Source organism: Homo sapiens, chromosome 3 (assembly GCF_000001405.40).
Source record: "Homo sapiens chromosome 3, GRCh38.p14 Primary Assembly".
In the NCBI taxonomy this organism is placed as follows: domain Eukaryota; kingdom Metazoa; phylum Chordata; class Mammalia; order Primates; family Hominidae; genus Homo; species Homo sapiens.
In genome coordinates this window covers 179,518,871-179,541,890 of record NC_000003.12, presented here as the reverse complement: position 1 = coordinate 179,541,890, position 23,020 = coordinate 179,518,871, and the positions used below count along the sequence as shown (strand labels likewise).

The 23,020-nt window shown below is 43.5% G+C and overlaps 1 protein-coding gene across 2 annotated transcripts in view, besides 1 other annotated feature; it reads left to right on the top strand.

Moving 5' to 3' along the window:
* Nucleotides 1-14,092: 14,092 nt before the first annotated feature.
* Nucleotides 14,093-23,020, top strand: part of GNB4 (G protein subunit beta 4) — a 131,711-nt gene continuing 122,783 nt past the window's right edge. Inside the window, exons 1-2 of one of the 2 annotated variants that reach the window (XM_047448654.1) lie at nucleotides 14,093-14,172; nucleotides 15,921-16,074. The gene's annotated coding sequence lies outside the window, so the exon portion shown is untranslated. Of the gene's footprint in view, nucleotides 14,177-15,920; nucleotides 16,075-23,020 lie in introns of both variants that reach the window. The other variant, XM_047448653.1, reaches the window with a different exon arrangement.
* Nucleotides 14,518-15,068: an enhancer, noted in NCBI's record as "OCT4-NANOG hESC enhancer chr3:179244611-179245161 (GRCh37/hg19 assembly coordinates)". NCBI's record gives its function as "activates a minimal SCP1, AML or CMV promoter by ChIP-STARR-seq in primed H9 embryonic stem cells {active_cell/tissue: H9 hESC(primed)}" and the evidence as "EXISTENCE:reporter gene assay evidence [ECO:0000049][PMID:30033119]".

Sequence of the window (23,020 nt, the reverse complement as noted above, 5' to 3'; positions counted from 1 at the left end):
GTGGCAGATCCTTCATGAATAGATTAATGGCCTCCTTGGGAGTGGGAGGCTGTGAGTGAGTTCTCACTCTCTTAGTTCCCACAGGAGATCATTGTTAAAAAGAACTTGACACCTCCCACTCCCAACCCCCACACCTTTCCTACTCTCTTTCCACATGATCTCTGTACAGACTCTCCTTCACCTTCTGCCATGAGTGGAAGCAGCCTGATACCCTCACCAGAAGCCAAGCAGTTGCTGGTGCCATGCTTTTTGTAAGCCTGCAAAACTGCGAACCATTTTTTTTTTAAATAAATTACGCAGGCTTAGGTATTCCTTTATAGCAGCACAAAATAGACTAAAACACTGAGACAAGGACAAATATCTGAAGAATGAGCACTTTGGGGAAGAGCAGTCTTATACAACAATTCAAAAGCAGAATCAACAGGAGGAAGCTACACTTTGCCTCCTTCAAAGTTTTGCCAAAGACCAGTCCTACATCTTGATTAGGCTAGAAGCTGAGATGACCTCAGCTGTGAGCCCAGGTCTGATGGGCTTGTAGCACTTCTGAGAGTTCCTTAAGAGGCCTTAAGAGAGCTGGGCATCAGCAGCAGATCGCTGGAATGTTCTCTGTACTGACTTACTTACTCCCATTTCCTGTGCTCCTTAAGTCACTCCTGGGGTTTGAGCTCCTATGTCCAGTGCCAGCTTTATGCCCCTTGAGCTGCAGTGTATGTACTCCTGGGATACGACAAAGGAGGTGGCCAAAGAAAGGAGGTCCTCTAAGCTACAGCACATAACATGGCATATCTTCTTACAGAGCCTCTTTTTTGCTCAAAGACAGAAGAGAGGGGCATATGGAGAAAGGGAATTAACCTAATAGGAAAGTCAATGAAAACATTATTTAACCCATGTGTGGGTTAAAATACGAAAACTTTTTTTTTTTGCACTCCTGTTGCCCAGGCTGGAGAGCAATGGTGTGATCTCGGCTCACCACAACCTCTGCCTCCCCGGTTCAAGTGATTCTCCTGCCTCAGCCTTCTAGAATAGCTGGGATTACAGGTATGCACCACCACGCCCAGCTAATTTTGTATTTTTTAGTAGAGATGGGGTTTCTCCATGTTGGTCAGGCTGGTCTCGAACTCCCGACCTCTGGTAATCTGCCCACCTCAGCCTCCCAAAGTGCTGGTCTTACAGGCGTGAGCCACCGCACCCGGCCAAAACATTTTAATGTTAAAACAAACACTGATAAAGCACTGAGTAGAATGTAAAATTTAAATAATTTTTGGAAAAATCCCAAACTTTTTGCTTGCTGCAGGCCATTTCAAACTTTCTCCTCAGTGACCGTTGCCTCACCCCTCATGCTGGACACACATCCACACACATCTCTAGTTTGAGGAGAAGTGAAAGGAAAGTACTTTGGCGTAAAGATTCAGAAATTGTTACTAGTAGAATCAACCAAAAAAGAGAGTACAACCTACCCAAGCGTGGGACCAAACTAAATTTGGGGTCAGAGAATTAGGATGAATTAGGATGCAGGATCCGTTGTATCAGCAGTTGCATTTTTGCAACAGTTTGTTAACTAGCAATACAGATACTGGCAAGTCAAAACGGTAATAGCCAAATGACATTAAACGGTATCAAGAAGCAGTTTTCATAATGATGAAACTCGGCAAAATTTTTCTCTCACCTTATTTTCCCTTTTCCCATGGCAGTAACCACTGCCACTCTCCCATAGGTGACACTTGGCCTTCGCCTGTCCCTTTGTTGTCTAAAGCACTCTTACTGAGGAACACTATTTAGGTTTTATTTTTCTTTCTTTCTTTCTTTTTTTTTTTTTTTTTCCAGAGATAGACTCTCACTCTGTCATCCCAGGTAGAATGCAGTGGCATGATCATAGCTCACTGCAGCTTCAAATGTGTAGGACCAAGTGATCCTCTAGCCTCAGCCTCCCAAGTAGCTAGGACTATAGGTGTGAGTCACCATGCCTGACTGATTAAAAAAAAATTGGGGGTAGGTAGAGATGGGGTCTCATTATGTTGCCCAGGTTAGTCTTGAACTCCTGGCCTCAAGCAATTCTCCCAAAGTGCTGGGATTACAGGCATGAGCCACTGTGCCTGGCCAGGTTTTCATTCTACAGAGTTCTCCAAACTTTACGTGCTTCTAACAAAGGATCAGGTCACACGGCCTAACAAATATAGTAGAATTTTTAACAAGCCAAATAACAAGGGAAATTTTTAAAATAGAATTAGTCCTAAAAAAATATTGAACTCCTGGTTAAGTTAATCATACTGAGATACTACAGCCCTTGCATTCCTCCTAAGCAAAAATTTGAAGGCCCTCTATACTGGTTTCTGCTGAGCATTAAGAGCTAAGTATTTTGATTAGCTAATTACAAAACTTTACATGAAATGTAATGAACTCTTCCAGTTAACGATCTCAAGGGATGTTTGTGTTTTAAAATAGATGCCTGTGAATCCAAATGAATGAATCTCTACTTGGCTGAAAACATGGGGAAGATATTTTTCTTCTTCATTTTCTATTTTTAATTTGAATTTCTTTATACATATGCATATGTTATGTTGTAATTTTACATAGATGAATAAATGCTATCACATTATACATACTGGGTTTCCCAATGAAGTCTTTTAATGTTTTTCTTTTTTTTTTTTTGTATTGGTTCCCTAAACCCCACATCACCCCCTGTATCAGTTTCCTAGGGCTCTCACAACAAAATGTCACAAATGGAGTGGCTTCAAACAACTGTGAGAAATTCATTGTCTCACAGTTCTGGAGGCTAGAAGTCCAAGATCAAGGTGTTGGCAGGACCATGCTCCCTTGGAAGCCTCAGAGGAAGATCTTTCCTTTCCTCTTCCAGCTTCTGGCAGCCTCAGATGTTCCCTGGCTTCTGACAACCCAACTCCAATCTCTCTGCCTCCATCCCGTCACCACGTGGCCCCTCGCAGGGCTGTATTATCCCGTGTCTGCACTGCTTTCCCTCTGTGAGAGTCTGTCTCTATGTCCAAATGTTGCCCTCTAATAAGGATACCAGTCATGTTGAATTAATTGAATTAGTGTTCACCGTAATGACCTCGTCTTAATTTGAATACATCTGCAAAGACCCTATTTCCAAATAAGGACACATTCACAGTGATATAATTTAGATATTTGTCGCCGCCCAAATCTCATGTTGAATTTTAATCCCCAATGCTGGAAGTGAGGCCTGATGGGAGGTATTTGGATGATGGCGGATCCCTCATGGCTTGGTGCTATCTTCAAGATAGTAAGATCTCACAAGATCTGGTCACTTAAAAGTATGTGGCACCTTGCCCACCCATTCTCTTGCTCTTGCTCCCATTCTTACCCTGTGATAAGCCTGCTCCCCCTTTGCCTTCTGCCATGACTGTTAGTTTCCTGAGGCCTCCCAAGAAGCAGATGCTGCTGTGCTTCCTGGACAGCCTGCAGAACTGTGAGCCAGTTAAACCTCTTTTCTTATAAATTACGCAGTCTCAAGTATTTCTTTATTGCAGTGCAAGAATGGCCTAACAGACACAGGCAGTAGGGGTTACGGCCTTACCATATCTATTTGGGAGTGATATCACTCAACTCATGACACCTCCCAAACCCATGTTACCCAACCTAGTTTGCACCCTTCAGCACTTTCTCACTCGTTCTCCCAGTTTCCCATGCCTGCAGGGGGCCTTTCCATTTCCTCCCTTCTTCCATCCAGCTCTTTCCTACCAAGACAACTGGGTTAGCAGCCTAAAATCCCATTTCTAACCCAGCACTGGCCTTTGCTATAGTATCACAAAGGCAGGCAAGAGCAGCGATCACAGCATCAGAGCCACAGGGGCAGGAAAAAATTTCTGGGGCTCTTTTGGTGTCGGCTTTGCATTTGCTCAGTGCTCTAAAAACAACAGGCAAGGAGGGGTGGACTGGGATAGATCTGCTTATCTTGACCAAAAGCACATTTCCCAGGGAAGGGAAAGTTTAGGTACTTTTCCCTCCCCAGCACCCCTACCCCACCTCTGCCTTGAAGCTTAAGTCAGAGTCTTGCTCTGTAGCCTGGCAGCAGCATTTTGATTATAGAGTAAATAACTTTTGTACAGACTTCCTTCTGCTTTTCTAATAATGTGTCCACATTCTCTATTTTGATGAAAACCATTGAAAAATGCCTATGGTGTTTTAGAAAAGTTTAACAACTCAAACACCAACAAGCAAATGCCTCAGTCAACTCTCTCGGCATCTCTTTTCCCATCCCTCAAAACCCCTCAAATGCCAGTACTAATCCATTTGAGAGGACTGTGAGTAGGGAAGGCATTTTTATTTTATTTTATTTTATTATTATTATACTTTAAGTTTTAGGGTACATGTGCACAATGTGCAGGTTAGTTACATATGTATACATGTGCCATGCTGGTGTGCTGCACCCATTAACTCGTCATTTAGCATTAAGTATATCTCCTAATGCTATCCCTCCCGGGAAGGCATTTTTGAGCAACTGAGAATTGGGGTCAGTCCTCATCCAAGACAACTTATAAATCAGGGCAGTTCAAGGAGGCTGGCTGGTCCAATTCAGGAGTCTGAGCTTTGTGGAGGTCACCCGTTACTGTCTGCCCAGCACTTCCCTCCTCTCCTGAAGAACAGCTCCTGTCCTTACTCCAACTAGTTGGTTCTAGACAAATACTGATCTCAGGGCTAGGCAAGTAACCCAAGCATGGATCTTCAAAGTCCTCATTCAGGAGTTGTAAAATTGGAACAAAAACATCAGGGACTGTCCCATGTGTGATGAAGTTGAAATGGTGAGCCTGGAAGGAGCTTCGGGCCTCTCCATCACTGTGCAGTCTGAGAAAGGGGCAGGGACAGGTAATCCTAATGGCATTTGACTTCCTGCTTCCAGGCATCCCTGGAAGCCCACTTGTGCCCTGCCCTTTCCTCAGTTTATGAGAACCAAAAATTCCCGCTTTCGCTTATTCTATTTTGGCTTCATTTCTGTCATTTGCAACCAAAAGAGTCCTGACTAGTACAACACTTCCTGTCTATGGGGAAGTTCAGCAATCACTTTGTCCCCTCACCCAGAGCCTAATCCAGCCAAAGCTGAGATACTGAGACCCATATTTATCCTTGGTCAACCAGTTAAATGAGGAATGCCACAGCTACTTGAATGGAATGGTTGCGCCTGCTATCCTCGGTCTTCCTCCTAAAACAAACAAAACCCCCCCAAAACCAACAGTGTTGTGCTGAATGTGAAATTTCATTTTATAAATGAATAAATAAATATATATATTTTCTAGGAATCCTGTAGAAGAGACAGATTTTTGTCAGCTAAACTGAGTCAGGAAAGGATCAAGAGAGTTGAGGAAATCAGTCAAACACATTAACATGGAGGCTGCAAATAGAGAAAAGTCTTTGCAAAAACTTGTCAGTTATATAAAGCATGCTTTCTGGGAATGGCACCAAGATATTAGTGAATAACAGTGTCACATTTTAAAATAAAGAAAACTGTTGGTAGTGCAGTACTAATATATTTTATCTGATGGCCTCAGAGTCCAAGTGACCTAAATTCACAGCCTTTGTTTCTGCAGAGTTTATGTTACCATCTCCTCAATACAATTGTTTTTTTAAAAAAAGTACATTCACACCCAGGTAATTTGTAACATTTAAAAGCATAATCAGAGATGTATAATACTAGGGCAATTCAAGGAATTAGTTGTCAAGTCTGTAAAGGTGACTTCATGCACCAAAAGCATAGTATAATTATATTACCATATGTCATTTTTTTAAAAAAAGTATTTATTGAAAAAAATTGTATCAAGCTGCAACTGTGAAGTGGGTGTTAGGTTCTGAACATCGATGTGAATATGAAATAGTTCCTGCTTTCATCATATTCACAGCATAGTACCCGAGAGATATTTAAAAATAATTGTCTGGCCGGGTGCAGTGGCTCACACCTATAATCCCAGCACTTTGGGAGGCCGAGGTGGGTGGATCACCTGAGGTCAGGAGTTCGAGACCAGCCTGGCCAACATGGTGAAACCCCGTCTCTACTAAAAATACAAAAATTAGCTGGGCGTGGTGGCACTCACCTGTAGTCCCAGCTACTTGGGAGGCTGAGGCAGGAGAATCGCTTGAACCTGGGAGACGGAGTTGCAGTGAGCCAAGATCATGCCACTGCACTCCAGCTGGGTGACAGAGTGAGATTCCGTCGCAAAAAAAAAAAAAAAAATTGTGTATATTTCCTGGTGGTTTCTCCCTGTTTCCCTCTCCTTCCCATACCTGATGCATCTATAGATATGCACAGCTACTGAGAGCCTCTGACCAGAGCTCAAACCATCACCCCCCTTGAGGTCCGACACAACATATCAGCATATCTGGAGTGTCTAAAGCTTAATTGCAAAGCAAGTACCACAACCCTGAGAGAAGAAAAGTCAAGAATGATGAGGGAGAACAAAAAGGGTCCTGAGAGTTTCAGGAAAATAGTAGCTTAGGACACTCTAGGAGAACTAAGCTTCTTTTGTTTGTTTGTTGACACAGTTTCCCTCTGTTGCTGAGGCTGGAATACAGTGGTGCCATCTTGGCTCACTGCAACCTCGGCCTCCCGGGTTCAAGCGATTCTCCTGCCTCAGCCTCCCGAGTAGCTGGGATTACAGGCGCACCACCACGCCTGGCTAATTTTTGTATTTTTGGTAGAGTCAGCATTTCACCATGTTGGCCAGGCTGGTCTCGAACTCCTGACCTCAAGTGATCCAACTGCCTCAGCCTCCCAAAGTGATGGGATTACAGGTGTGAGCTACTGTGCTCGGCCAGGAGAACTGTCTCTTGAAGAACGCTACCTTCACTGAGCCTCTACCCAGACACCACATGTTCCTGTTTTTCTTCTGCCACACAGACTCCCCTTTGGCAGAGCCCGCCTCTTCTTTCTGGCCTCTAAATATTACAGTGTCCTAGGAGGCAGTCCTCAAAGCTCTTCTTTTCTATCTATTCACACTCCCTAAGTGATCTCATCCAACCTCATTCAATCAGGAGCAGTGACTGCACCTAGAGAGGAACAGCTGTGGGGAGGTCTGTGTGATGGGAGCTGTGGCTTTGATCAAGGGACTCAGGCAATCTTCAGCGAGGGAGCTGGGGGAATACACCACCTCACTTGCTCTTTTTTTCGGATCTGCCCCAAGGCTGGCTGAATCCAGCTGGAAACCAGGGGTTGGAGTTCATTGACTTAATCCATGCAGGTCAGGCTGTGTGAAGGTAAACAGCAGAGTGGAGAGGCATGGAGTGAGAATAAGGAAGGCTGCAAAGACATGCAGCACACTTTCGATATGCTGAAGACTCCCTCATTTGTGTATTTCCAGCCCTAACCTTTCCGGTGGAATCCCAATGGCCTGCTTGGCCATCTCCTCCTGAATATTCACTTGATTGTCCCATCCCCCAGCCTGGTCCGCCTCCCCTTCCTTCCACACTCTCCTCCCAATTTCACCACCATTCACACAGTTGTTTAGGCCCAAACCTACCTTCCATCCCCGAATCCTTTCTCTTATAACCAACCCATGAGCAAGTTATGCCAGTGCCACTTTTAAGAAATGTCCAGAATCTGGATATTTCTCACCACACCCACTGCTTCCACCCTAGTCCATGCCCACATTGTCTCTTGCTTGTATGAGGGCAGTAACTTCCTAACTCCCACTTCTACCCTTGCCCCCAGTATGGTCTATTCTACCTTGGCCCCATGAGGTCTACACAGCAGCCAGAGTGATCCTTCTCCAGCTACTCTTTAACCCCTTACCTTGTTTTAATTTTCTTTCCAGCAAGTAACTCCACGTAAATACCTATTATATGTTTATTCATGTATTTGTTTATTGTTGTTTCTTCCATTAAAATGTAGGTTCCATGATGGCAGGAATCTTCTTTTCTACCAAGTTTTCCCCTCAGTTGAACAGACTAATTGTTTAATGGAAAATGAATATAACTTTTTAAAACACACTGTCAAGAGGATGAGAAGACAAGCTTCAGACTGGTAGAAAATATTTGCAATAGATATATGTGATAAAGGACTATTAACTAAAATACAAAGAACTCTTAAAACTCAATAATAAGAAAACAAATAACCTGATTAAAAAATGGCAAGAGACCTGAACAGATACCTCACCAAAGAAGATATACAGAGGCAAGTAAGTATATGGAAAGGAGCTCAATATCATATGTCATTAGAGAAATGCAAATTAAAACAACAATGATGAGATTCTACCACACAGCTATTGGAATGGCCAAAATCCAAAACACTGACATCTCCAAAGGCTGACAAGGATGTGGAACAACAGGAGCTCTCATTCATTGTTGGCGGGAATGAAAAATGGTACAGCTACTTTGGAAGAGCGTTTGGCAACTTCTTACAAAACTAAACCTACTGTTACCATATAATCCAGCAATCATGTTCCTTGGTATTTACTCAAATGAGTTGAAACCTTACGTCCACATAAAAACCTGCACATGAATGTTTATAGCAGCTTTATTCACAATTGCCAAAAATTGGAAGCAATCAAGATGTCCTTCAGTAGCTGAATAAATAAACTGTAGGACGTCCAGATAAGGGGATGCTAAAAAGAAATGCAAAAAAGTGCTACAAAGAAATGAGCTATCAAACCATGAAAAACATGGGAAAAGCTTTAAATGCCTATTGCTAAGTGAAAGAAGTCAATCTGAAAACCTATATCACAGGTTCAATTCTGTGATATAAAGCAACACATCACAAAGCGTTTTTACAGATAGCTTGTTTCTAGTTTTTAGGGCTGGATATTCATATTTTCTTATAAAAGGTCAATAGGTTCGGAAACGTCACTTCTTAGATTCTAAAAAAAGAGTGTTCCGAACTTGTTAAATGCAAATTCAACTACGATTTCAACTATGTGATCTCTGGAAAAGGTAAAACTATTGAGACAATAAAAAGATCAGTGGTTCCCAGGGGAAGGTTTGATTTCAACTATATGATCTCTAGAAAAGGTAAAACTATTGAGACAGTAAAGATCAGTGGTTACCAGGGGAAGGAGGGATGAATGGCAAAGCACTGAGAATTTTAAGGCAATGAAACTTCTGTAGGATTCTACCATGGTGGATGTATATCATTATATATTTGTTCAAACCCATAGCATGTAAAACACCAAGACTGAACACTAATGTAAGCTATGGACTATATCAATGTAGGTTCAGTGGTTGTAACAAATATACCACTCTGGTGTGGGATGTTGACAGTGGGGGAGGCTGTACATGGTGTTGGTGCAGGGGGCGTATGGGAATTCTATGTACTTTCTGTTCAGTTTTGCTATGAACCTAAAACACCTCTAGAAAGTAAACTCCCTTTCAAAAAAGAAAAAGATAATATGTGTGGAGACCCTAGAGAAAAAAAAGGACCATAAATCTAGAAAAACTAGCCCACTACACTCTGAGACTAACCATTTGTCAAAACAGCAAATGTACACTTAAGATTTGTACATTTCATTGTAGATGTTATATGTAGATGTTATAACAAAAGAAAACCTATAAACAAATACTGAATTCTAGTTGTGATATGCATGCTGAAATATTTACAGGGGAAGTGAACTCATGTCTGCAATTTATTTGAAATGCATCAAAAGTGGATGGATTAAGATATAGATAAAAGAATAGATGGATGGATGGATGGATGCATGGTAGACAGACAGACATATGATAAGGCCAGTTGAGTATATTGAAAATAGAAGAATCTGGGTGATGAGTATATTGGTTGTTCACTGTAAAATTCTTTCAACTTGCTATCTGTCTGAATTTTTTCATAATAAAATATTGGGATAAACTATATTCAAAACAAGGGTGCAGCTTCCACTTGTTTTTGAGATATATTAGTGCCAAACATTTTAATGACCTTGGCAGTTATGGTGGGACAGAACACTTAAGCTAATAACTGAATCGTCACCTTGCTTAAATTAAAAACTCAAAGAAGTTTTTTCAGACCTCCAAGTCCTTAAACAGTTTATGAAGAATGTTTGTGAAATGGAAGATTGCTTATGCTCATCTTAAAGCCACTTAGTGCTGGCACAAGCCTCAGTCCTCAGAATCATCTATAATGCATGCACCGTGTGCCCTCAGCAGTGTTTTTTCTCTTTTCTTGACGTCAGTTGCCATTTGTAAGGGTTTCCAAGGTAGTGACCAGACACATCTAAAGGCAAGCCTACAAGAAAGAACAACATACTTATTTTTCCCTTTTAGCCTCAAATATATTTAAAATGCATAACACATTCAGTTTGATGAAATTCTACTTCAGAGAGAACCAAACTTCACAGTACAGAAAAGAGCTCCCTACTCTTGTCTCTGCAGCTCCGCTTTTAATGACTGGATTTGTTTAAAAAAAAAAAAAACTATGTAGACTTCTCTTTACACCACAGTTTCCCTCTGCCCCCAGGGAAAAAATGTGAGAAGGTGCTAGGTATATTTTAAAAATAATTTTGGTAAAGTCAGTAGAAAGACCTAGTTTACCTCAAAAGTCAGCATGGGAAAAATTTGGATCTGTTCAAAATAGGAATATATCATGTTCCTTGGAAAGTATGTGATTTTTAAAAATTAATTAAGACATAATACTTAGGCCTATCAATCGGTATGGTTAATTGACATATTTCTACCTGGACAGATGTTACATTGTATGAGTTGTATATTTTATATAAATAAAAGGTAAGTTTGGCTAGGTGTGGTGGCCCGTGCCTGTAATCCTAACACTTTGGGAGGCTAAGGCAGGAGGATCTTTTGAGCCCAGGAGTTCAAGACTAATCTGGGCAACATAGGGAGACCCCCATCTCTACAAAAAAATTAAAAATAAAAAAATTAGCCAGACCTGGTGGTGCATACCTGTAGTCCCAGCTACTGTGGTGGGAGGATCACCTGAGTCCAGGGGGTTCAAAGCTTCAGTGAGCCATGATTGCGTCACTGCACTCCAGCCTGGGCAACAGAGTAAGACTCTGTCTTAAAGATAGATAAATAAATAAATAAGGGTAAGTTTTATAACTGTACACATTTAACATGTATGTTTTTATTTGTGGCAGCAATAAATAAACCATTATGGATCAAGGAGGAACCCCATCACAGTTTTTAAACCTACACTCAAGCCAGGTTGAGTAATGTGGTGCTTACAGTCCCAGTTACTTGGGAGGCCGAGGTGGGAGGATTGCTTGAGAACAGGAGTTGGAGGCCAGCCTGGGCAACATAGCAAGACTCTGTACTTTTCTGTTTATTTATTTATTTATTTTAGAAATGGGATCTGCTATCTTGTTGTTTAAAAACAACAACACAACAACAAGGAAATAAATTCATTTGGCCCATCGCCATCCTATTTAAGCTTCTGATTTTTTTTTTCTTTTAAGAGACAAGGTTGGAGTGCAGTGGTGTATCACAGCTCACTGCAACCTCAAACTTCTGGGCTCAAGAAATCCTCTTGCTTCTGCCTTCCAAGTATTTGGGACTACAGGCGTGCACCACCATGCCCAGCTAATTTGTTTTTTTACTTTTAGTAGAAACAAGATCTTGCTATGTTGCCCAGGCTGGTCTTTAACTTCTGGCCTCAAGCAATCCTCCCCTGTTGGCTTCCCAAAGTGCTGGAATTAAAGGTGGGAGCCACTGAGGCCGGCCAGTTTCTGATTTTTTTAAAAAACTTTCAATTGATTAATTTATTTTGGGGGGAAATCTCACTGTGTTGCTCAAGCTGGTCTGAACTCCTGGGCTCAAGGAATCCTCCTGCCTCAGGCTCCCAAGGAGCTGGAATTACAGGTGTAGCCGCTATGCCTGGTTTAAGCTTCTAATTTTCATGCGCACTCATTTAACTAAGATATATTAAATGCTTTCTGTTTTTCAGGTGTTATGCTGACAATAGGTAGCTGAGTATGTGCCTCTTCTCCAGGGACTTGCAATCTAGTTGGAAAGACGGCATGTAAATAACTTTTTAGGGATATGTGACAAGCAGTCCATTTGGGCTGCTGTAATAAAATACCTTAGATTGGGTGATTTATAAATAACAGAAATTTTCTTCTCACAGCATTGAACATTGAACGGGCCATACTAACAAGTGCTGCGAGAAGCCTTTGATTCTGCCTGGAAAGATCTGGAAAGGCCAAACCCCTGTCCTCAGTTCCTTGTAGAGACAACAGGGTAATCTTTTTTTTTTTTTTTTTTTTTGAGACAGAGTTTTGCTCTCATCACCCAGGCTAGAGTGCAATGGTGCAATCTCGGCTCACTGCAACTTCTGCCTCCCGGGTTCAAGCGATTCTCCTGCCTCAGCCTCCCAAGTAGCTGGGATTACAGGCACGTGCCACCATGCCCGGCTAATTTTGTATTTTTAGTAGAGATGGGGTTTCTCCATGTTGGTCAGGCTGGTCTCAAGCTCCTGACCTCAGGTGATTTGCCCGCCTCGGCCTCCCAAAGTGCTGGGATTATAGGTGTGAGCCACCGCGTCTGGCCTAGCAGCAGGGTAATCTTTGTACCGGGGTTGGAAACTGGTAGCCTACGGACTATATCAGGATTCAAAACTCATTTTGTTTGGTCTACATAGGATTTTGAAAATCCGAGAATATCTTATATAAAAATTCAGATTTGTGGAGTTTTCTGAAAAGTTGCAAGATCTGGCAATTCTGGGCTACAATCAACTGGATCTAGACAAGCTGCTTTCAGTTTGTTTTATAACCAAACTGCATGACCACTGACTAATTATATTGCCTTTCAGCAGTTGACCTTCTGTCCCGTTAAGTGGGATTGATAATACCACGTTTGCGTTTTTTGAAAGTGGATTCTGTAAGAGCAGGGAGTGGAGCAGTATTTCTCAAAATGTGGTCTACAGCTACCTTTGTCAGTATCATGTACAACAGTTCTTCCCAACATTTACTGTGGGTATGAATCACCTGGCTATTCTGCAGACTGTGCTCTTTCAAAGTCATACAGTGCATCATTCAACAAAGGAGTCACTAGTCACATGTGACTACTTCAGTTTAAATTAATTCACATTCAACTCCTCAGCATACTAGTCACATTTCAAATGCTCAACAGCTACATGTTCCTGTGGCTACATCACTGGACAGTGCAATAGAACATTTCCATCATCACAGAAAGCTTCATTCGATAGTGCTGTACACAACATTGTCTCAGTCCTTAATGCCTGCCATCACAAAATACCTTAGACTGAGTAACTTATAAACAACAAAAATGTATTTCTCACAGTTCTATAGGCTGGAAAGTCCAAGATCAAGGCACTGGCAGATTCAGTATCTAGAAGACACCTGCTCAGAGTATCCTTACAGGGTGGAAGGGGAAAAGCAGCTCCCTGGGACCCTCTTTTATAAACGTACTAATCCCATTCATGATGGCTTTCCCCTGGTGACCTAATCACCTCCCAAAGACTTTATCTCCTAATAACCATCACATTGGTGATTTCAAAACAAGAATTTTGAGGGGATGACATTCAGGCCATAGCAAACATTGTCTAAGTCCACCTGAAACCACTCATCACCTAGGGATGTCATTTTGTTTGATCTACTATGCTTTATTGATTAGGGTTGATTGTCTTTAAAATTAGATGTGGACATTTAGAAAATTAATCAGTCACAATTGGTTTTTTGTCATATAGAGAGTCAAATGCTTTATGTCCAATAAAAAAGAATCTTAAAGGTTTTTGTTTGTTTTTTTGTTTTTTGTTTTTTTGAGATGGAGTCTCACTCTGTTGCCCAGGCTGGAGTGCAGTGGCACGATCTCGGCTCACCACAAGCTCCGCCTCCTGGGTTCACGCCATTCTCCTGCCTCAGCCTCCTGAGTAGCTGGGACTACAGGTGCGTGTCACCATGCCTGGCTAATTTTTTGTATTTTTAGTAGAGACGGGGTTTCACCATGTTAGCCAGGATGGTCTCGATCGCCTGACCTCATGATCCACCTGCCTCAGCCTCCCAAAGTGCTGGGATTACGGGTGTGAGCCACTGCGCCTGGCCAAGATTTCGATTTTATTGCTCTGTGGGACATTAGTCAGTTCTCTGTTCTCTATATAACTCTGCAATTTTATCTAGCATTCTTTTCTTCTACTGGTGACATGTACACACACACACACACACACACACACACACACACACATACATACACACACGCACTTATCAGCAATCTTCTATCCTCCTCTTTAAACCAGCTGGTTTTGTCACAAATGAAGTAGGTAAGTCTTAGACTATATATTTGTATGAAAATCATGTTTTAACTTTTTGAAATTTGTATTTTGATAGGAGCAAACTATTTGAATTTATACTTTGGGAAACCTATTTAACTTTGTAAAGCCTCAAGTTTGCTCATTTGTAAAGTGAGGAATAGTTTCTAAAACAGAGAGTTTTCTCATTGGATTCTTGAAAATTAAATGGGATAATGAATATAAAACATTTAGTGCAGCTCTTGGCATGTAAAATTGCTAAATAAATATCATTATTATTTAAGAAAGCTTTCTCAACTGTATTTCTGGATGTCTAAGCATCTCAATTCCTACTTTTGTGTTGCTCCATTCAAATGCTGGAAGTTCCAACTGTATTCTGGGCACAACGCCTGCATCTCCCAACTTTGGCTTCACTCTGTCTGCACTCAGCACCTTTTTCATCCTTTCTGTAGCAATGGGAGTTTTCTGGCCAATATCTGGCTTCAAATTGAGAGAGAACGTCTTCCAGGCTGAGAACAACTAAGAATCCTCCTTCCCGGCATCCTGCTTTTCTTTCCCTCCCCCTTCCCCTCCACCCCTTCCTGCCAGCAGAAGTCATTGACTCCATACTTCCTGCCTTGCACTATAAACACTCTCTCCAGCTGTGGCCTGCTTTCACTGGAGGTTTAACTATTTAATTGCTAAAGACCCTTTTCCCAGAACAATGCACAGTCTTATCCTGGGGTTGGGGAGCAGTTCACAGAATGTTCTCTCTGCTCTCTTAAGCCTCCTAATGCATTCTACAATGTCCATTTGTACCGTTCATATATAAAATTAATTTTTGTTGCTGTTAATTTTGGGAATGGTGCCAAAAAGAATTTTCCTATAGCTCAGAACTGTTTATTGAGGATCTCCTAGGTGTGTAATACTGAAATTTATTTTTCATCTAAGGAGCTAGCTGATGAGAAAAAGAGAGAGGAAAATTTTGTTCTGCTTTCCAGAGTTTATACAACCAGACTAAGAAAACTCAATCTAGATTATAACTTGACAGAGCCTTGGCATGGAAGCACGGTTCAGATATTATGCAATAAAGATAACAAAGACAGTGTTGAGTTAGAGAGAGAATAAAATAGAGACATACAGGAGAGAGGTAAGCAGACCACTCAGGGTGGCCTTCCAGGGTCCAAAGTGTGGCCCTCAGCTTTATTGGCCCAGAAACTCCTATTTTCATTTAGACATCAGAATCTTCTGAGGGATATTTGATCATATCTCTGCAAATTGAAGTGCAGTATGTTTTATCTTCAGTGACAGTGGGGTAGAGAAAGGCAACAATCCCAGTTCTGCATTTTCTAGCTATACAATCTGGGGCAAATGATTTTACATTCTTGTGCCTGGTGTCTGTCAGGCCTCTGAGCTCAAGCTAAGCCATCATATCCCCTGTGACCTGCACATATATATCCAGATGGCCTGAAGCAAGTGAAGAATCACAAAAGAAGTGGAAATGGCTGGTTCCTGACTTAACTGATGACATTACCTTGTGAAATTCCTTCTCCTGGCTCAGCTACTCCTCCACTGAGCACCTTGTGACCCCCGCCCCTGCCCGCCAGAGAACAACCCCCTTTTGACTGTAATTTTCCTTTACCTACCCAAATCTTATAAAACGGCCCCACCCTATCTCCCTTTGCTGACTCTCTTTTCGGACTCAGCCTGCCTGCACCCAGGTGAAATAAACAGCCTTGTTGCTCACACAAAGCCTGTTGGTGGTCTCTTCACACAGACGCGTGTGACATTTGGTGCCGAAACCCAGGACAGGAGGACTCCTTCGGGAGACCGGTCCCCTGTCCTCACCCTCACTCCATGAGGAGATCCACCTGTGAACTGGGGTCGTCAGACCAAACAACCCAAGGAACATCTCACCAATTTCAAATCAGGTAAGTGGTCTTTTCACTCTCTTCTCCAGCCTCTCTCGCTACCCTTCAATCTCCCTGTCCTTCCAATTCCAGTTCTTTTTCCTCTCTAGTAGAGACAAAGGAGACACATTTTATCCGTGGACCCAAAACTCCGGCGCTGGTCATGGACTCGGGAAGACAGTCTTCCCTTGGTGTTTAATCCCTGCGGGGACGCCTGCCTGATTATTCACCCACATTTCACTGGTGTCTGATCACCACGGGGACACCTCCTTGGTCATTCACCCACATTCCCTTGGTGGCAAGTCAATTGCGGGGTTGCCTGCTTTGGCTGCTCACCCACACTGCAGCCCAGGGCTGCTCACCACCCCCTTCTCCGTGTCTCTACCCTCTCTTTTCTCTGGGCTTGCCTCCTTCACTATGGGCAACCTTCCACCCTCCATTCCCCCTTCTTCTCCCTTAGCCTGTGTTCTCAGAAACTTAAAACCTCTTCAACTCTCACCTGACCTAAAACCTAAGCATCTTATTTTCTTCTGCAACACCGCTTGGGCCCCAATACAAACTCGATAATGGTTCTAAATTGCCAGAAAATAGCACTTTTGATTTCTCCATTTTACAAGACCTGGATGAATTTTGTCAAAAAATGGGCGAATGGGTCTGAGGTGCTCGACGTCCAGGCATTCTTTTACACATTGGTCCCTCCCTAGTCTCTGCTCCTAATGCGACTCACCCGATATCCTTCTTCTTTCTCTCCTGTCTGTTCCTTAAGTCTGCATCCCAAGCTCTGAGTCCTTTGAATCCTCCTTTTCTACAGACCCATCTGACCTCTCCCCTCCTCCCCAGGCTGTTCCTCGCCAGGCCGAGCCAGGTCCCAATTCTTCCTCAGCCTCCACTCCCATACCCTATAATCCTTCTGTCCCCTCCCCTGCTCACACCTGGTCCAGCTTACAGTTTCATTCCGAAACTAGCCCTCCCCCACCTGCCCAATAATTTCCTCTTAAAGAGATGGCTGGAGCTGTAGGCATAGTCAAGGTTAATGCTCCTTTTTCTTTATCTGACCTCTCCCAAATCAGTTAGCGTTTAGGCTCTTTTTCATCAAATATAAAAACCCAGCCCAGTTCATGGCTCATTTGGCAGCAACCCTGAGACACTTTACAGCCCTAGGCCCTGAAAGGTCAGAAGGCCGTCTTATTCTCAATGTGCATTTTATTACCCAATCAGCTCCCGACATTTAAAAAAAGCTCAAAAAATTAGATCCTGGCCCTCAAACCCCACAACAGGACTTAATTCACCTCGCCTTCAAGGTGTACAATAATAGAGAAGAGTTACAATTACTTGACTCTGTTGTGAGACAAAACCCAGCCACATCTCCAGCACACAAAAACTTCAAAATGCCTAAGCCACAGTGGTCAAGCATTCCTACAGGACCTCCTCCATCAGGATCTTGCTTCAAGTGCCAGAAATCTGGCCACTGGGCCAAGGAATGCCCACAGCCCAGGATTCCTCCCAAGCCATGTGCCATCTGTGTGGGACCCCACTGGAAATCAGACTGGCCAACTCACCCGGCAGCCACTCCCAGAGCCCCTGGAACCCTGGCCCAAGGCCCTCTGACTGACTCCTTCCCAGATCTCCTTGGCTTAGTGGCTAAAGACTGATGCTGCCCAATCACCTCAGAAGCCTCGTGGACCATCACAGATACTTTGGATAACTCTTATAGTGGAGGGTAAGTCCGTCCCCTTCTTAATTAAAATATGGAGGCTACCCACTCCACATTACTTTCTTTTCAAGGGCATGTTTCCTTTGCCTCCATAACTGTTGTGGGTATTGATGGCCAGGCTTCTAAACCTCTTAAAACTCCCCAACTCTGATGCCAACTTGGACAACATTCTTTTATGCACTCCTTTTTAGTTATCCCCACCTGCCCAGCTCCCTTATTAGGTTGAGACACTTTAACTAAATTATCTGCTTCCCTGACTATTCCTAGGCTATAGCCACACCTCATTGCCGCCCTTTTCCCTAGTTCAAAGCCTCCTTTGCATCCTCCTCTCATATCCCCCCCACCTTAACCCACAAGTATGGGACCCCTCTACTCCCTCCGTGGCAACCAATCACACGCCCATTACTATCCCATTAAAACCTAATCACCCTTACCCTGCTCAACACCAATATCCCATCCCACAGCACACTTTACAAGGATTAAAACTCATTATCACTCACCTGTTACAGCATGGCCTTTTAAAGCCTATAAACTCTCCTTACCATTTCCTATTTTACCTGTCCAAAAACCAGACAAGTCTTACAAGTTAGTTCAGGATCCACACTTTATCAACCAAATTGTTTTATCTATCCACCCCGTGGTGCCAAACCCACATACTCTCCTATCCTCAATACCTCCCTCCACAATCCCTCCACAACCCATTATTCTGTTCTGGATCTCAAACATGCTTTCTTTACTATTCCTTTGCACCCTTCATCCCAGCCTCTCTTCGCTTTCACTTAGACTGACCCTGACACCCATCAGGCTCAGCAAATTACCTGGGCTGTACTGCCGCAAGGCTTCATGGACAGCCCCCATTACTTCAATCAAGCCCAAATTTCTTCCTCATCCCTTACCTATCTCGGTATAATTCTTCATGAAAACACACGTGCTCTCCCTGCTGATAGTGTCCGGCTAATCTCCCAAGCCCCAACCCCTTCTACGAAACAGCTCCTTTCCTTCCTAGGCATGGTTAGGTACTTCCACATTTGGATACCTAGTTTTACCATCCTGACTAAACCATTATATGAACTCACAAAAGCAAACCTAGCTGACCCCATAGATCCTAAATCCTTTCACCACTCCTCTTTCCCTTCCTTAAAAACAGCCCTAAAAGCTACTCTCACACTAGCTCTCCCTAACTCATCCCAACCCTTTTCATTACACACAGCCAAAATACAGAGCTGTGTGGTCAAAATTCCTACACAACAGCCAGGACCATGCCCTGTACTCTTTCTGTCCAAACAACTTGCCCTTACTGTTTTAGGCTGGCCCCTACATTATTCCTGATACCACACCTGACCCCCATGACTGTATCTCTCTGATCCACCTGACATTCACTCCATTTCCCCATATTTCCTTCTTTTCTGTTCCTCACCCTGATCACACTTGGTTTATTGATGGCAATTCCACCAGGCCTAATCGCCACTCACCAGCAAAGGCAGGCTATGCTATAGTATCTTCCACATCTATTATTGAGGCTATTGCTCTTCCCCGCTCCACTATCTCTCAGCAAGCCGAACTCATTGCCTTAACTCAGGCCCTCACTCTTGCAAAAGGAGTACGTGTCAATATTTATACTGACTGTAAATATGCCTTCTTTCACTCGCGTCCGTGCGAAGAGACCACCAAACAGGCTTTGTGTGAGCAATAAAACTTTTTAATCAACTGGGTGCAGGCGGGCTGAGTCCTAAAAGAGAATCAGCGAAGGGAGATAGGGGTGTGGCCGTTTTATAAGATTTGGGTAGGTGAAGGAAAATTACAGTCAAAAGGGGGTTGTTCTCTGGTGGGCAGGGGCGGGGGTTCACAAGGTGCTCAGTGGGGGAGCTTTTGAGCCAGGAGAAGGAATTTCACAAGGTAATGTCATCAGTTAAGGCAGGAACAGGCCATTTTAACTTCTTTTGTGGTGGAATGTCATCAGTTAAGGCAGGAACTGGCTATCTGGATGTGTACATGCAGGTCACAGGGGATATGATGGCTTAGCTTGGGCTCAGAGGCCTGACATTCCTGTCTTCTTATATTAATAAGAAAAATAAGGCAAAATAGTGTTGAAGTGTTGGGGCGGCGAAAATTTTTGGGGGTGGTATGGAGAGAGAATGGGCGATGTTTCTCAGGGCTGCTTCGAGTGGGATTAGGGGCAGCTTGGGAACCTAGAGTAGGAGAGATTAAGCTGAAGGAAGATTTTGTGGTAAGGGGTGATATTGCGGGGTTGTTAGAAGAAACATTTGTCATATAGAATGATTGGTGATGGCCTGGATATGGTTTTGTATGAATTAAAAAAGAATGGAATGAGACAAAGAGAAAAACAGGTATTAAAGGACTAAGAATTGAGAGGACTCAGGGCATCCAATTAGAGAGTGCCTAAGTAGGTTCAGCATAGCCCTGCCAGCAAAGATTATTTATTTACTTTAAGAGGGAGTTAGGAGTGACGGTTTGGGGATAGCACCAAGAGATATCAGCTGTGATGGCTTGGAGAAACAGTGTAAACTGGCAGCGTAAACAAGAGCAGGGCATTTATGAGTAGTTGAGAATGGTGAATAGGAGTATGACTAGACAGAAGATAGTAGGGATGACAAGTTTTTTTGGGGTGCAGTCCAAGTTGGTCTGGTGTCTGGAATGAGACTGGGGCCTAATAAAAAGGAGCATCTATACAGGAGCTCAAATGGGCTGTACCCTGTAGCATTCCGAGGACAGGCCTGAATTCTGAGAAGAGAAAGTGGTAAAAGTATTGTCCAGTCCTTTTTAAGTTGGTGGCTGAGGTTGGTGAGGTGAGTTTTTAAAAGACCATGAGTTCGCTGAATACCAAGAGCTAGAGAAATTGCCTGGGTGATTTGACTAATAAAGGCTGGTCCGTTATCAGACTGTATAGAGGTGGGAAGGCCAAACCGAGGAATTATGTCTGACAGAAGGGAAGAAATGACCACGGTCGCCTTCTTAGACCCTGTGTCTACCAAGACTAAGAGGTATTTTAGTTTTCTGACTTGGGGCATGTGAGTAATATCAATTTGCCAGTCCTGGGTGGGGCAAATCCCCGAGTTTGATGTGTAGGGAAGGGAGGGGGCCTGAACAATCTCTGAGGGGTAGTAGAATAGCAGATGGAACACTGAGAAGTGATTTCCTTGAGGATAGATTTCCACGATGGAAAGGAAATGAGAGGTTCTAAGAGGCGGGCTAGTGGCTTGTACTATAGCATAGCCTGCCTTTGCTGGTGTGTGGTGATTAGGCCTGGTGGAACTGCCATCAATAAACCAAGTGTGATCAGGGTGAGGAACAGGAAAGAAGGAAATTTGGGGAAATGGAGTGAATGTCAGGTGGATCAGAGAGGTACAATCATGGGGGTCAGGTGTGGTATCAGGAATAATGTGGGAGGCCGGATTGAAGTCTGGGCCAGGAACAATGGTAACTGTGGGAGACTCAACAAAGAGTGAGTACAGCTGAAGGAGCCGGGGAGCAGAAAGTATATGCGTCAGGTGGGAGGAAGAAAATAGATTCTGGAAGTTATGAGAACTGTAGAGAGTGAGTTGAGCATAGTTTGTGATTTTGAGGGCCTCTAAAAGTATTAGGGCGGCGGCAGCCACCGCACACTGACGTGAGGGCTAGGCTAAAACAGTAAGGTCAAGTTATTTGGATAAAAAAGCTATAGGGCACGGTCCCAGCTCTTGTGTAAGAATTCTGACTGCACTAACCATGCCTAGGAAGGAAAGGAGTTGTTGTTTTGTAGAAGGGATTGGGGTTTTGGAGATTAGCTGGACATGATCAGCAGGGAGAGCACGTGTGTTTTTATGAGAATTATGCCGAGATAGGTAACAGCTGAGGAAGAAATTTGGGCTCGACTGAAGTAATGCGGGCTGTCTGTGAAGCCTTGCGGCAGTACAGCCCAGGTGATTTGCTGAGCCTGATGGGTGTCAGGGTCAGTCTAAGTGAAAGCAGAGAGGCTGGGATGAAGGGTGCAAAGGAATAGTAAAGAAAGCATGTTTGAGATCCAGAACAGAATAATGGGTTGTGAAGGGAGGCATTGAGGTTAGGAGAGTATATGGGTGTGCCACCACGGGGTGGATAGGCAAAAAACAATTTGGTTGATAAGGCGCAGATCCTGAACTAACCTGTAAGGCTTTCCGGTTTTTGGACAGACAAAATGGGGGAACTGTAAAGGGAGTTTATAGGCTTTAAAAGACCATGCTGTAGCAGGCGAGTGATAACAGACTTTAATCCTTTTAAAACATGCTGTGGGATGGGATATTGGCATTGAGCAGGGTAAGGGTGATTAGATTTTAATGGGATGGTGAGGGGTGCATGATCGGTTGCCGAGGAGGGAGTAGAGGTGTCCTATACTTGTGGTTTAAATGGGGAGATACAACAGGAGGATGTGAAGGAGGCTTCGAACTGGGAGAAAAGGCAGCAACGAGGTGTGGCTGTAGCCTAGGAATAGTTAGGGAAGCAGATCATTTAGTTAAAATGTCTCGGCCTAATAAGGGAGGTGGGCAGGTGGGGATAACTAAAAAAGAGTGCATAAAAGAGTGTTGTCCAAGTTGGCACCAGAGTTGGGGAGTTTTAAGAGGTTTAGAAGCCTGGCCATCAATACAACAGTTATGGAGGCAAGGGAAACAGGCCCTTGAAAAGAAGGTAATGTGGAGTGGGTAGCCTCTGTATTGATTAAAAAGGGGATGGACTTACCCTCCACTGTGAGAGTTACCTGAAGCTTGGTGTCTGTTATGGTCTAGAGGGCTTTTGAGGTGATTGGGCAGTGTCAGTCTTCAGCCGCTAAACCAAGAAGATCTGGGATGGAGTCAGAGAGCTTTGGGCCAGAGTTTTAGGGGCTCTGGAAGTGGCTACCGGGTGAGTTGAACAGTCTGATTTCCAGTGGGGTCCCACACAGATGGCACATGGCTTGGGAGGAATCCCAGGCTGTGGGCATTCCTTGACCCAGTGGCCATATTTCTGGCACTTGTAGCAAGCTCCTGGGAGAGGCAGGCCTGGAGGAATGCCTGGCCACTGCGGTTTAGGTGTTTGGAAGTTCTTGTGTGCTGGAGATGTGGCTGGGGTTTGTCTCACAGTGGGGGCAAGGAATTGCAACTCAGAAATATGTTGCTACTTGGCTGCCTCTACTCTTTTATTGTACACCTTGAAGGCGAGGTTAATTAAGTCCTGTTGCAGGGTTTGAGGGCCGGAATTTAATTTTTGGAGCTTTATTTAATGTTGGGAGCAGATTAGGTA